This window comes from Homo sapiens, chromosome 2 (assembly GCF_000001405.40).
Source record: "Homo sapiens chromosome 2, GRCh38.p14 Primary Assembly".
Taxonomy (NCBI): Eukaryota; Metazoa; Chordata; class Mammalia; order Primates; family Hominidae; genus Homo; species Homo sapiens.
The window spans coordinates 133,468,897-133,483,478 of NC_000002.12; the positions used below are offsets into that span (position 1 = coordinate 133,468,897).

The window sequence follows — 14,582 nt, forward strand, 5'->3', positions numbered from 1 at the left end:
TGTGTGTCTCTGAACGTAAGATGGGTTTCCTGAATACAGCACACTGATGGGTCTTGACTCTTGATCCAATTTGCCAGTCTGTGTCTTTTAATTGGAGCATTTAGTCCATTTACATTTAAAGTTAATATTGTTATGTGTGAATTTGATCCTGTCATTATGATGTTAGCTGGTGATTTTGCTCATTAGTTGATGCAGTTTCTTCCTAGTCTCGATGGTCTTTACGTTTTGGCATGATTTTGCAGTGGCTGGTACCGGCTTTTCCTTTCCATATTTAGCGCTTCCTTCAGGAGCTCTTTTAGGGCAGGCCTGGTGGTGACAAAATCTCTCAGCATTTGCTTGTCTGTAAAGTATTTTATTTCTCCTTTGCTTATGAAGCTTAGTTTGGCTGGATATGAAATTCTGGGTTGAAAATTCTTTTCTTTAAGAATGTTGAATATTGGCCCCCACTCTCTTCTGGCTTGTAGGGTTTCTGCCGAGAGATCCGCTGTTAGTCTTATGGGCTTCCCTTTGAGGGTAACCCGACCTTTCTCTCTGGCTGCCCTTAACATTTTTTCCTTCATTTCAACTTTGGTGAATCTGAAAATTATGTGTCTTGGAGTTGCTCTTCTCGAGGAGTATCTTTGTGGCACTCTCTGTATTTCCTGAATCTGAATGTTGGCCTACCTTGCTAGATTGGGGAAGTTCTCCTGGATAATATCCTGCAGCGTGTTTTCCAACTTGCTTCCATTCTCCCCATCACTTTCAGGTACACCCATCAGATGTAGATTTGGTCTTTTCACATAGTCCCATATTTCTTGGAGGCTTTGCTCATTTCTTTTTATTCTTTTTTCTCTAAACTTCCCTTCTCGCTTCATTTCATTCATTTCATCTTCCATTGCTGATACCCTTTCTTCCAGTTGATCGCATCGGCTCCTGAGGCTTCTACATTCTTCATGTAGTTCTCGAGCCTTGGTTTTCAGCTCCATCAGCTCCTTTAAGCACTTCTCTGTATTGGTTATTCTAGTCATACATTCTTCTAAATTTTTTTCAAAGTTTTCAACTTCTTTGCCTTTGGTTTGAATGTCCTCCTGTAGCTCAGAGTAATTTGATCGTCTGAAGCCTTCTTCTCTCAGCTCAACAAAGTCATTCTCCATCCAGCTTTGTTCCATTGCTGGTGAGGAACTGCGTTCCTTTGGAGGAGGAGAGGTGCTCTGCTTTTTAGAGTTTCCAGTTTTTCTGTTCTGCTTTTTCCCCATCTTTGTGGTTTTATCTACTTTTGGTCTTTGATGATGGTGATGTACAGATGGGTTTTCGATGTGGATGTCCTTTCTGTTTGTTAGTTTTCCTTCTAACAGACAGGACCCTCAGCTGCAGGTCTGTTGGAATACCCTGCCGTGTGAGGTGTCAGTGTGCCCCTGCTGGGGGGTGCCTCCCAGTTAGGCTGCTCGGGGGTCAGGGGTCAGGGACCCACTTGAGGAGGCAGTCTGCCGGTTCCCAGATCTCCAGCTGCGTGCTGGGAGAACCACTGCTCTCTTCAAAGCTGTCAGACAGGGACATTTAAGTCTGCAGAGGTTGCTGCTGTCTTTTTGTTTGTCTGTGCCCTGCCCCCAGAGGTGGAGCCTACAGAGGCAGGCAGGCCTCCTTGAGCTGTGGTGGGCTCCACCCAGTTCGAGCTTCCTGGCTGCTTTGTTTACCTAATCAAGGCTGGGCAATGGCGGGTGCCCCTCCCCCAGCCTCGCTGCCGCCTTGCAGTTTGATCTCAGACTGCTGTGCTAGTAATCAGCGAGACTCCATGGGCGTAGGACCCTCCAAGCCAGGTGCAGGATATAATCTCGTGGTGCGCCGTTTTTTAAGCCTGTCGGAAAAGTACAGTATTCAGGTGGGAGTGACCCGATTTTCCAGGTGCTGTCCGTCACCCCTTTCTTTGACTAGGAAAGGGAACTCCCTGACCCCTTGCGCTTCCCAAGTGAGGCAATGCCTCACCCTGCTTTGGCTTGCGCATGGTGCGCGCACCCACTGACCTGCGCCCACTGTCTGGCACTCCCTAGTGAGATGAACCCAGTACGTCAGATGGAAATGCAGAAATCACCCGTCTTCTGCATCGCTCACGCTGGGAGCTGTAGACTGGAGCTGTTCCTATTCGGCCATCTTGGCTCCTCCCCCCCTGCTTTTGCTTTTATGTACTGATCATCATCATCATCATCAATCATCAGTCATTCCACAAGAAACTCGGGATTACACTTTTTGATCCTAAAAACAGTTCAGCTCAATTGTCAGCTCTTTAATTTTTTTTTCAAAGGTTAGAGTCCTCTCAGGTGGCATGCACCATCCTTGGGTGCACACCCCTCTTTTGTGGGTGTGCTTACCTGTCATCTTGGCCTCAGCACGAACAGCCACTTTACTCCTGCTAAGTGAGCGGCTCATATGCACTTTTTTAGACTGTATTGGATTTTATAAAACCTTAAAATTGGTAATTTAAGTGCCACTAGCAACTTGTCTTTAACAGGTGGAGAGAGATCTGGAGCCCATCCTAGGAAAAAGCAAATGACATTTCTCTCTTGCGACCCAGTCATTGCAAATTTGGTCTGTCTTTGCAAGGAACCTAGTGCTAGAGCCATTGCTAGGTTTTCATATCAGGGGGAATAAAAACCTGGGAGGGGAGGGGGGAAGCAAGCAGGCAGAGGGTCTCAAGCTGTGGGTTGGTTGGGGTATATATACTTAGAAAGACACTGCCTTGGGTGATCTCCTGATAATTGCTTTCCAGGACCACTGATGCTTTGGATACACAGTTAACATGGCTTCCTCCCAGGCTTTATCATCATAGGCTAAACTCCTCTTGCATGAATCTCTTACCTAAGGTAATGTTGATCAGCCACTACTCCTCTCCCCTTGTCCTGACCAAATGCCCTCTACTGTCTCTCACCTCATCAGGGCTACCACTGCAATGCCCAGGAGATGATGCAAGCCATCCCTACCTCACTTGAAAAATTATCTTACTCAAGTCTCAAACTTTCACGACCATATGTTATGCTTTAGTTTGACATGGTCATTGATCATAAACTTTTATTTATTTTTCTTTTTATCTCAACTTAGTGTCCTGGATGTAGAAATTTAATTGAGTAAACTTCTAGAAGCAATTGTTATAGACTAACATAAAAGAAAAACCTGAGGGTAAATATAAAATCATCCACAATCCCACCATCTTAACTCTAATACCTTTACCATTTTAATGCAGCAAATCACCCCTTTTATATGTAATTTTATGTAGCTGTAACCAGATTCTCCTTGAGCCTTTGCCTGCCCTAAAATTCTGCTTGTTTCCATGATATTATAAACATTATTTTCCATATGTGAGAAAAACATGTTTTCTCACAGTTGTAATACAAGGTTTATAACTATCATTTTAATGTCTGCATACTGTAACTTTCCTTTAGATTTCTTATAAATTATCTTGTATCTAGTAGCATAAGATATCAAGAGCATCTTATGCTTCTAGACATTACTGTGGCTTTAGATGCTTTTCATTTAATTATATGATGAAGATCTTGGTGCAATGGAGTTTTGGCACTTTGATTATTTTGTAAGGTTTTATTATTGCTTCTCCTCTCCTTTTTAGGCTCCCCTCCACCACCTATCCTTTAAAGGTTGGGGTTCTCTTGGGTTTCATGCACAAGCCTCCTTCCACACGTCTCTTCGGCCCTTAGTAAGCTCATCTACTATCAAGCAAGGCCTTACCTCCCCAAACATTCTGCAGGGTCCGAGACCCATATGTACTAACCCTGCAAAAATGTACCATGTAATCACATTAACTCCTCAAATATTTTCCCAAACACTAAACAATAACTTCTCCTAGAAGCTGCTCTACCTTCTGAGCAGATATTCTCAGATAATGGCACCCCTATCCACCAGATCTGCTTGGTTAGCAACACCTCTAGGAATCTTCTCTCTCTCTTCTCCGTATCCAATAGGCATCAAGTCCTCTGCAGTGCTGCCTTAGAAATCTCTTTACATGTTGGATTGCTTCTCTTATTGGCTTCCACATGGCCACTGCCTTGATCCAGGCCTTTATCATCTTGATAAAGATGATAATTGTTACCTGGTTTCCATGCTAAAAATTTCTTACCACTGCAACCAGTTTGATCTTAAACAAAGCTCCCTGATTAAAAATTTAGTTAGGGCCGGGCGCGATGGCTCACACCTGTAATCCAAGCACTTTGGGAGGCCAAGGCGGGTGGATCATGAGGTCAGGAGATCGAGACCATCCTGGCCAAGATGGTGAAACCCCATCTCTACTAAAAATACAAAAATTAGCCAGGCCTAGTGGCCTGTGCCTGTAGTCCCAGCTACTCAGGAGGCTGAGGTAGGAGAATCGCTTGAACCCGGGAGTCAGAGGTTGCAGTGAGCCGAGATCGAGCCACTGCACTCCAGCCTGGGCGACAGAGCGAGACTCCGTCTCAAAAAAAAAAAAATTAATTAATTTAGCTTTTTATTGGCTACAGAAGTAGTTGTCAAAGTTTAGCATGCCTCAGAATAACCTAGAGGACTTGTGAAATCAGAGCTTGCTGGGTATTATCCCCCAGAGTTTCTGATTCAGTAGGTTTCATGGGGTTGTGAGGAGATGGACAGCAGAGAATCTGCAATTCTAATGAGTTTCCAGGGGATACTGATACTGCTATTCTGGGAGCCATACTTTGAAAACCACTGTTCTATAAGATAATAGTTAAGTTTCTAATCATATACATTTTGAAATCAGGGCTCAGTTTATCCTTCCAGCCTTACTTTGTAAACGTTGTCTAGTGAAAATTACTTTTCAGCTATTCTAAAATTACCAACTATATGTGGTTTCTATCTGCTTTCAAAATTACCCCTCGTTGTATATGCTGTAACTTCTGACTGAATAGCCTCATATTTAAGTTTTTCTTTGTCAATTGGCAAACAGTGCCAATTGGCAAGCCAGTTACTACAGAGCTACAAATTCAAACATGTATCTAGAGCAGTTCAAGAGCAAAAATGCATAAAGCAGGAGGAAGGAAGAATAAAGAGAGTTCCATTTAAAGTACTGTATGATCCAGCAAACCCACAAATGGGTACATATCCAAAGGAAATGAAATTAGTATGAAAGAAAGTGAATCAGAGGTATCTGTGCTCCCATGTTTATTGCAGCACTACTCCCAACAGACAAGATAGGGAATCAACCTAAGTGTCTGTCAACAGATGAATGGATAAAGAAAATGTGATATCTATCTATCTATCTATCTATCTATCTATCTATCTATCTATACACACACACACACACACACACGTACATACATATACACACACACAATGGAATACTATTCAGCCATAAAAAGAAGGAAATACTGTCATTTCTACAACATAGATGGACCTGGAGAACATTATACTAAGTGAAATAAGCCAGGCATAGAAAGACAAATACCACATGATTTCACTTATATGTGAAATCTTAAAGAGTTGACCTCACAGAAGCAGAGAGTAGAATGATGGTTATGAGGGGCTGGTGAAGCTGCAAGGCAAGGATTGAGGAGATATTAGTCGAAGGACATAGAATTTCACTTAGACTGCAGGAATAAGTTCAAGAGATCTATTGTGCAACATGGTGAATAGAGTTAATAGTAATGTATTTCATATTTGAAAATTGATAAGGGAATAGATTTTAAGTGTTCTCATATTAAAATATGGGAGGCAATGCATATGTTAATTAGTTTGATCTAGCCATTCTACAATGTTACATATATAAAAACATGGTTATGTACACCATTAAAATGTACAATTTTTGTAGATACAAAAAATAAACAAATAATGAATAATAAATAAAAGGGCAGCCTCTATCTCTCTCCTACTAATTATCCTCTGAGAATATTGCTAAGTCTTTGGAATTTTTCAATAGAAGCCAGAATTCTAGGGTTTTTTTTTTGTTGTTGTTGTTGTTTTTGAGACACAGTCTTGCTCTGTTGCCCAGGCTAGAGTGCAGTGGCACAATCTCGGCTCACTGCAACCTCTGCCTCCTGGGGTCAAGTGATTCTCCTACTTCAGCCTCCTGAGTAGCTGGAATTACAGGTGCGTGCCACCAAGCCCAGCTAATTTTTGTATTTTTGGTAGAGCTGTGGTTTCACCATGCGGACCAGGCTGGTCTCAAACTCCTGACCTCGTGATCCGCCCGCCTCAGCCTCCCAAAGTGCTGGGATTACAGGTGTGAGCCACCATGCCCAGCCTAGAATTCCAGATTTCTAAGCAAAGTCTCCACATTCTTAGATAGTGGTAATGGATTTCAACAAATGTAAAACCATATGCTGGCTGAATTAAACATATCTGCAGGCTGAATTCAGCCCAAGGCCCATAAGTTTGCAACTATAGTGCTACTCCTTATTCAAGACCAAGTCCAATAACTGTTCCTCCACACAGCATTCCCGATGTCTGCCAGGACTCCCAATGTGCACACACACATGCACAAGCTTAGTCACACTGTCCTTTCTGTTCTTAAGGTACTGTGTTAAAATTTATATAAAAGCATGTGCTTCAATTAAACCATCTACATAAATGACATCCCCAACCCACAACTAAAGGCTCAAGAGCAGAAACTTAGATTAACTTCTTTTTTTCTTATTTTCTAATGTAGTATGCCTATCAAATATCTGTTGAAGGATGGAAGAAAGATCGAATAAACAAATAAAGGTAAACTCTATTAGAAAATAGCAGGCGATATCTTATTCCATACATCTTAACTTCCCTTTGTATGGATTTCCTCAGTGACATGTTAGATTTTTCACAATGAAACAGTCAAATTTTAGCCATGCTTTCCACAGATGTACAGAAAAATGTTAGTCCAAGCTAATATAAACACTGGAAGGATTTAGATCAAGCAGCATTATTTTAACCTGTCTTTCAAGAGAAAAATGATGGAATGATTCATGACAGTGACTAAAGGCATCAATATTCTCTTATCATAACTCCAGGTAAGCTTTCACATACATGCAATTAATCACAGCATTATAAATGGGAAAAGGTATGTGTCAACCCAAGAATCAGCTGTCTCCTACCTATTTAATCCAAAGAAACCCAACAAAAACAAAAAGCAGAACAGCAAGAACAAAAAATCAGTTCTGTACTGTGCCAGACAAAGAAGAAGTCAAACCAGAAGATTCTTCCTTATCCTCCATCCATGTCTCTTTTTTATTCCTGAAGTTGTCCAGCCTCACAGTTCTGCATGTGATTTGAAAGCAGTTAAATAGAAAGTTAAAAGTTTTCGAATTAATTTTAACAGAGGTTTTGTTGAGCCCTGAAGGGTCTTTCCTAAGAAGAAAATGTTATTGTCAATGGTGCCCTTCAATTTATACTTTCTGTCTTAATAAAACTGGTTGCAGAGTGTGCAATGCAAAGTCAGGTTGCCTTTCATCTTTTACTAAGCATTAAAGCATTGAGGAAAGGAAAAAACACTTTAAGATAATTGCAATTTTCTTCAATTATATAATATAACTTCATAACCTGTAAGGGTTTTCATTAACCAAGGTTCATCAATTCTAATCGGGCTGCCCTCGCATTGGAGAGGCCCATACCAGTGTAATTAAAGCTGCCGATTCTGCTGACAGCATTCTTCAGTTTCCAGGGCCCTTATCATTGATGGATAAGTCATCGAGCAGCATGTGATGGCCCTACATATTGCCTTCCTGCCTTCACTTTTCAGGAGAGAAGCTAATCTCCATGCTTTTAATTTACTCTTCATACATTCTTCCCCTAGAGCCAATGATATTAATCAGTGTTTTAAAAGAAAGAAATTAGGCAAAATTATGTTTTAAAATGTTTAAATAGAGCCATCTGTCTTCGGTTCTCCTTCCCCCTTTCTCGTGGAATAGGCTTCATGCTCTTATAGCACATTGATTTTTATATCATGGATTAATATTTTCTTTAGGAAAATACATCTGATTTCCCGGATCCTCTAACATAAAGTACCTAAATCAATAAGGTAGTTACAGATGATGCTGTTATAATTACCTCTTTTCTTTCAGAACAGCTTCTCATCATGAGTTAGATGTGAGATTGGAATGCATGCCATGGTCCCTTATTTGAAATGACCCAGGCTACCACAACAGAACCAAGCCTGCAGAGGTCTGGCTCTGAACAACCTTTTCTCACACATCCGCTTTTGTTGGTCAGTCTCAATACTTTCTCCAAAAGCACTATTTTAATCATGATACTCCCTTATGGAGAAACTTAAGGTTGGATTAAACTATCCTAGTCAGCAATTAAACACTTTCTCCAAAGTCATTGTGCTACGAGACTCTAATTTTACTTCCTTAGAAGAGCAAAAAGGAGTGAGGAACATTGACCTTGAGCCCAGGCGTTCTGGCCTAGTGGTCTGCCTTCATCAGAGCTGGTTGCTCCTGCTGTAGGTTCAAGGTCAATGAACTCTGACTATTGCTTTCAGCTTGCCATTGGAGAGCTGTATCCTCCCTTTGATAAAATCTTCTTGGCTGACTTATTTTCAGCTTGAACATTCTGCTCTATCTGCTCCAGGAAGACAGATCTGCTTTTGGTGCCCTGCCCATGACTTACATATCTTCCACTTAGTTACAAGACAGCCTCCTTTTCCTCAGGGGATCTGTTCCAAGACCTTCAGTGGATGCCTGAAACCTCAAGTAGAACCCAACCCTATATACACTATGTTTTTTCCTACACATACACACCCATGATAGAGTTTAATTTATAAATTAGATACCACAAGAGATTAACAGTAACTACTAATAAAATAGAACAATTATAACCATATACTGCAATAAAAGTTATGTGAATGTGGTCTCTCTCACTCTCAAAATATCTTACTGTACTGTACTCATCATTTTTTTCTTCTTGTGATGATGTGATAACTTAGGCTACTAAGTGACTCATGGGTGTGTGGCATATTCAGTGTGGACCTGCTGGATGAAGGGATGATGCACATCCTGGGCAGGATGGTGCAGGTCAGCATGAGATTTTTTCAGGCTACTCAGAAAGGTGTGCAATTTAAAACCTATGAATTATTTATTTCTGGATTTTCCCTTTACTATTTTCAGACCATGGTTGATAGTAATTGACACTGCAGAAAGCAAAACTGAGGATAAGAGGGGACTGCTGTGCTGAGATTTATATGACATTCATCCAGCAGTATTTTTTATAAACACTCTTATTATTCCATTGCACCTGGATCCACATCAAGCCTTTAAAAAACAGAGGAAAACTAAGGACTCCCTCATGAAGAACTAAATCTTCAAAATCTGGTTTCAAACTCACTTTCTCTTTTAGATATTGTTCTCTATCACAGTGAATCTCACCTGGTTCCAATCATGCCAGCAAGTCCACTGCCCTTTACTGACAGCAGCAGTGACTTTTGCAATATTACTGATATTTCTAATACCTATTCCTGACACATTTCTTTGCACTTTTCCTAGCAACCCCATTTGATAATGAACTTCTTAAGGGCAATGATCTTTGTTTTCTTTGAAACTTCTTCCAACAGGTGCAAGAGGAACCCTGGATTTGGAGTCAGTAACTCCAACATTTACTAGCACTGGGATCTTGAACCTTCCTAGAAATCTCTGGAAGACTCAGTTTATTATCATTACATGGGGACAATCATGTCTCCTGCCCTGACACCTCGATAGGCAGGGCTGTGGGTAAAGATCGAATCAATTATAGTCCACCAGGGCACTTTGTAAACAGCCAAGGCTCATGCAGATGCTATAACACTTATGCTGAATAAATTTTGCTAACAGAAAAACTAGCCAAGATTTATGACGAAACATACAGGATAGTGATTTCACTACCCTTACCCTAGTCAACTGCGATGCATTTCAAATGTTTCATCTCTTTTCTATCACCTTGAAAAAGCCAGAGTCTTAAACCCAAATATGTAAGGATCAGGGAGTCACTAGAAATGTGTAAAGAATACCTCGCACAAGATAAGACACTAAAGCATGCTGGGGACAGTGACAAAATGAAAAGTCCATGTCTTGTCTAAAGCAGAAAGCTGGCACTAGATCCGCCCAATTGTCACCCTGAAGAAAGGTGAGCCAACTATTTCAAGGGAAACTGCAATCCATATTTTTATAAGTGAAATACCTAGATGTTTAAATTGTTGGCCTTTAATTTGGTTATTAAAATAAATGTGTAGTGTTCAAATATATCATTAATGGATATGCCCCATGTGTCACAAGGGTTTGCAACTTTGGCTCAAGATTTTTAACATCTGAGTTTGTATGAACAATCAGCAAGTGTTCTTCAGCTCCAGTAAAAACTAACTCTGGACCAAGTTTTTGGGGGCTGTTAAAAAGAAGTATAAGGCATCATGCCTGCATCGAAGGAGAGGAATTAATAATTATTATGTGCCTAACATTTATTCAGTTACTTTACATACTTAATCAGTTTACTTTAACATAATCCTTATGAATTTATAAGGTGATTACTGTTACAATCACTTTGCTAACGAAGTAACCAAGGTTGCTTGCCCAGGAGCATGTGACATAACTGGTAAGTAGTGGAGCAATAATGTTAACTCAGTTCTGGTTATTGTCAAAACTGATGTTTCTCCACCATGGAAGGGAACATTTCAAAGTAGCCAGAAAAGAGAACTTGAAATATTTCTAATGCACAGAAATGATAAATGCTCCAGGTGATGGATGCCCTAATATACCCTGACTTGCATATACATTCTATGCATGTAACAAAATATCACATGTACTTCATAAATATGTACAAACAGTATGTATCAACAAAAATAGAACAAAACTATCACAGATCCATTTAGTGGAGACCAAATTTAGTGAAAATCAGTTGTCTTTCTGCTTTATTGCAGTACAAGGGAATAAATAAAAGATGATGAACCCAGAACAGAATCAAAAGAATCAAAGACCCACAGAATAATCGAAATTTATGCTGGATGGTGGTGACACTTTGATAAGACATTAGAAAAAGATATAAACTGGTGAGGAATATGTCACTCTGAGAAACTTAGTGGAGGATATGGGCATTGGGTTAGGGTTATTTAGGATTTGTTTTCTTTTTCCTTTTTTTTTTTTTTTTTGAGACAGAGTCCCACTCTGTCACCCAGGCTGGAATACAGTGGCATGATCTCTGCTCACTGCTACCTCCACCTCCTGGGTTTAAGCAATTCTCCTGCCTCAGCCTCCTGAGTAGCTGGGATTACAGGCATGTACCACCATGCCCGGCTAATTTTTGTATTTTTAGTAGAGATGGGGTTTCGCCGTGTTGGCCATACTGGTGTTGAACTCCTGACCTCTAGTGGTCCACCCACCTCGGCCTCCCAAAGTGCTGGGATTACACGTGTGAGCCACCACACCTGGCCTAGGGAATTAGAATTTGGATAAATAGAGGATGGTAGGGGGAACAGCATAAATGAGAGACTGAGTGGATATGAGTACCTTACCAGGTAGTAATATAGTTCTGCTTTCTCCTCCCCTTTCCCTTCTAACAAACACACTCCAGCTTCTGTGAAGGAGTATCTGTTGGTTTTGCTTGGCTCCATGTTCTCCCAGCTTTTGGTAACAGCACCCTTCCTGTTTTTCCTTTGGGGAACTGTCCTGCCATCATTCTGTCCTGGGGTTTCTCTGATCCTGTGCATAGAGCCTCCTGTACGAGGTCACACTCACATATTCAGAATCTGGAAGTGAGAAAGTGTTTACTCTACAGAAGCAACACAGGCCTAATGGTGTCTCTTCAATCCCTTGGGTAGACAATTCTACTCTTCAGAAGGTACCAGACAGATTGACCCTCAGTTGCCCACAGCCATGGCTGATTCAACAATGCACCTTTGCATGGGCTTCTCCTCCTTCTCTAATTCACTCTTGCTCATCTCCTACTCCTACTCCGTGGATTCACTTCCCAAATGAACTGCGTGTTCCAAGCTTTTGAATTATGCCCTGCCTGGGAAAAACTCTGGTTAAGGCAGTTGTTCGTGACAAGATTCCCAAACTGTCCTGCCATCCAGCATTCCCAAAGCCGGATTGCTCAAGTCAAAGCAAGATAGCTTTGACTCTGCTATTGACCTATCCTCTACTATTCTAAAAATTTCACCACTTCACTTTTATCAGCTGGTGTCCATTTCTGTTTCTTGCCACCAAAAAACCCGAACTGATTTATGACTCTATTTCAAATAGACCTATATCATACCATTGGATAATAGAAGAAAAGTTCTGTACACATACTAATAAAAAAATCTCACTAAATGTCAGTGTGGCTATTGCTTTGGATGGCAAGAAATTCTGAAACATCTGACAGTATTATTAAACGGCTCTTGAAAAACAAACATTATGGATGGGCTGCACAGTCATCTGGCAGTGATTCACGGTGTTTCTGCCAATGCCCACACCTGGCATGATGAAGTGTTGGAACCCAGCATTTCCTTCATAACCACCTGGGCCTTGAAGGCTAAGATTATATATGATTTTTAAATTTGTGCAAATCTATAGGATGTGTGATAAGATTTTTACATGTATTTAATGTGGAGAGATCAAGTCAGGGCATTTAGGGTGTCCATCTCCCAAGCACAACACATTTTTTAAGACTTTTAAGTTCAGTATACAGGTTTGTTGCACACATAAACTTGTGTCATGGGGGTTTGTTGTACAGACTATTTTGTCACCCAGGTATTAAGCCTAGTACCCATTAGTTATTTTTTCCTGATCCTCTCCCTCCTCCCATCCTCCACCCTCCGATAGGCCCCAGTGTGTGTTGTTCCCCTCTTTGCGTCCATGTGTTCTCATCATTTAGCTCCCACTTATAAGTGAGAACATGCGGTATCTGGTTTTCTGTTCCTGTGTTAGTTTGCTAAGGATAATGGTCTCCAGCTCCATCCATGTGCCTGCAAAGGACATGATCTCATTCTTTTTTATGCCTCCATAGTATTTCATGGTGTGTATGTACCACATTTTCTTTATCCAGTCTATCAATGATGGTCATTTAGGTTGATTCCGTGTCTTTGCTTATAATACATATTTTAAAGTATAGTAACACTACTCTGCTATCAAACATTGAATTATACCTTCAATCTTACTATATATTTGTACACTTTAACCCACTTCTCTTCACCCACCCTCTCCTCTAACTCATGCTAGCCAGTCTCTGATCTATCTTTCCACTCTTTACCTCCTTATGTTCACGTTTTTTAATCTTCCACAAACATGCTATATTTCTTTATGTATGTGCATGGCTTATTTCACTCAAGATAATAACTTTCAGTTCTCATCCATGTTGCTGCAAATGACATGATTTTATTATTTCTAATGGGTGAATAGTATTACATTGTGTATATATATAAAATTTTCCTTTTTTTTTCTTTTTCTTTTTCTTTTTTTTTGAGTCATGCACTGACACTCAGGCTGGAGTGCAATGGTGTGATCTCGGCTCACTGCAACCTCCACCTCTTGGGATCAAGCAATTCTCCTGCCTCAGCTTCCCGAGTAACTGGGACTACAGGCATGTGCCACCTCACCCAGCTAATTTTTTATATTTTAGTAGAGATGTGGTTTCACCATGTTGCCCAAAGTGGTCTCAAACTCCTTAGCTCAGGCAAGCTGCCTGCCTTGGCCTCCCAGTGTCCTAGGATTACAGGTATGAGCCATTCATCTGGCCCCAAATTTTCTTTATTCATTAATTCACTGATGGATACTTAAGTGGATTCCATATTTTTGCTATTTTGACTAATTCTGCAATGAACATGTGAGTGCAATTATTTCTCTAATATATTGATTTCTTTCCCTTTGGGTAGATATACAGTTGTGAGATTGCTGGATCAAATCATAATTCTAGTTCTAGATTTTTGAGAAATCTCCATACTGTTTTTCATGGTGGCTTTACTAGTTTGTGTTCCCACCAACAGTGTAATAGAGTTCCCTTTTCTCTGAATCCTTACCAACATCTGTTATTTTTTTTTCTTTTTAATAACTTCTCTATTACTCTAACCCACCAACTCATTGAAATCGTTGTCTTTTTTTGTCTCTCATGTAAGGACCACTCCTGTGATACAGTTTTCTCTTTTCCAGGTGAGAAACTATAGAACCGATGCAAAAATTAAACTTATATCTCATTTTTCCATGACATTGTTTGCCCACTAAATCATACAGCTTTCCATTGCCACTTTAATTAAATGGGTTAGATTCATACTGAGTTCAAGTATTTTTAACATTCCTTTATCTATCTATCTATCTAGCTATTGTCCTTCTTCTTATCTATCATCTGTTTTTCTATCATTTATCATTCTATCTACTAAGTAGCTCCAAATACACAAGTATATCCCTGAAAAGTGGCCATTTTTCTAAAATCTGCATCCCAAATTGCAAATGGAAAAATCTACATTATTATGGTGCATCTGGTCCTTGTTAATTCTTAATCTGTTGTATCTTTTACTGTCATGATTTCACCAGATGTGCAAGTCTATCTCACAAGTTAATATTTTACATAAACTACTCTAAAGAATTGTTGAAACAAAGTTGAGACTCCTTGGCTCCCAACACTCTCTCCATACAGGAGCAGTCTAAGTCTAGCTGACCAAAAGCCAAGAAGATCATAAAAATCCACTGACTTAGAAACTTGCA

General features: G+C 40.2%; 1 protein-coding gene across 16 annotated transcripts in view, besides 1 other annotated feature; it reads right to left on the reverse strand.

Annotated features, from left to right (window-relative positions):
- NCKAP5 (NCK associated protein 5) overlaps nt 1–14,582 on the reverse strand; it is a 1,003,049-nt gene that overhangs the window by 797,109 nt on the left and 191,358 nt on the right. The window lies entirely within an intron of this gene.
- Nucleotides 1,369–1,885: an enhancer, noted in NCBI's record as "NANOG-H3K27ac-H3K4me1 hESC enhancer chr2:134227836-134228352 (GRCh37/hg19 assembly coordinates)". NCBI's record gives its function as "activates a minimal SCP1, AML or CMV promoter by ChIP-STARR-seq in naive H9 embryonic stem cells {active_cell/tissue: H9 hESC(naive)}" and the evidence as "EXISTENCE:reporter gene assay evidence [ECO:0000049][PMID:30033119]".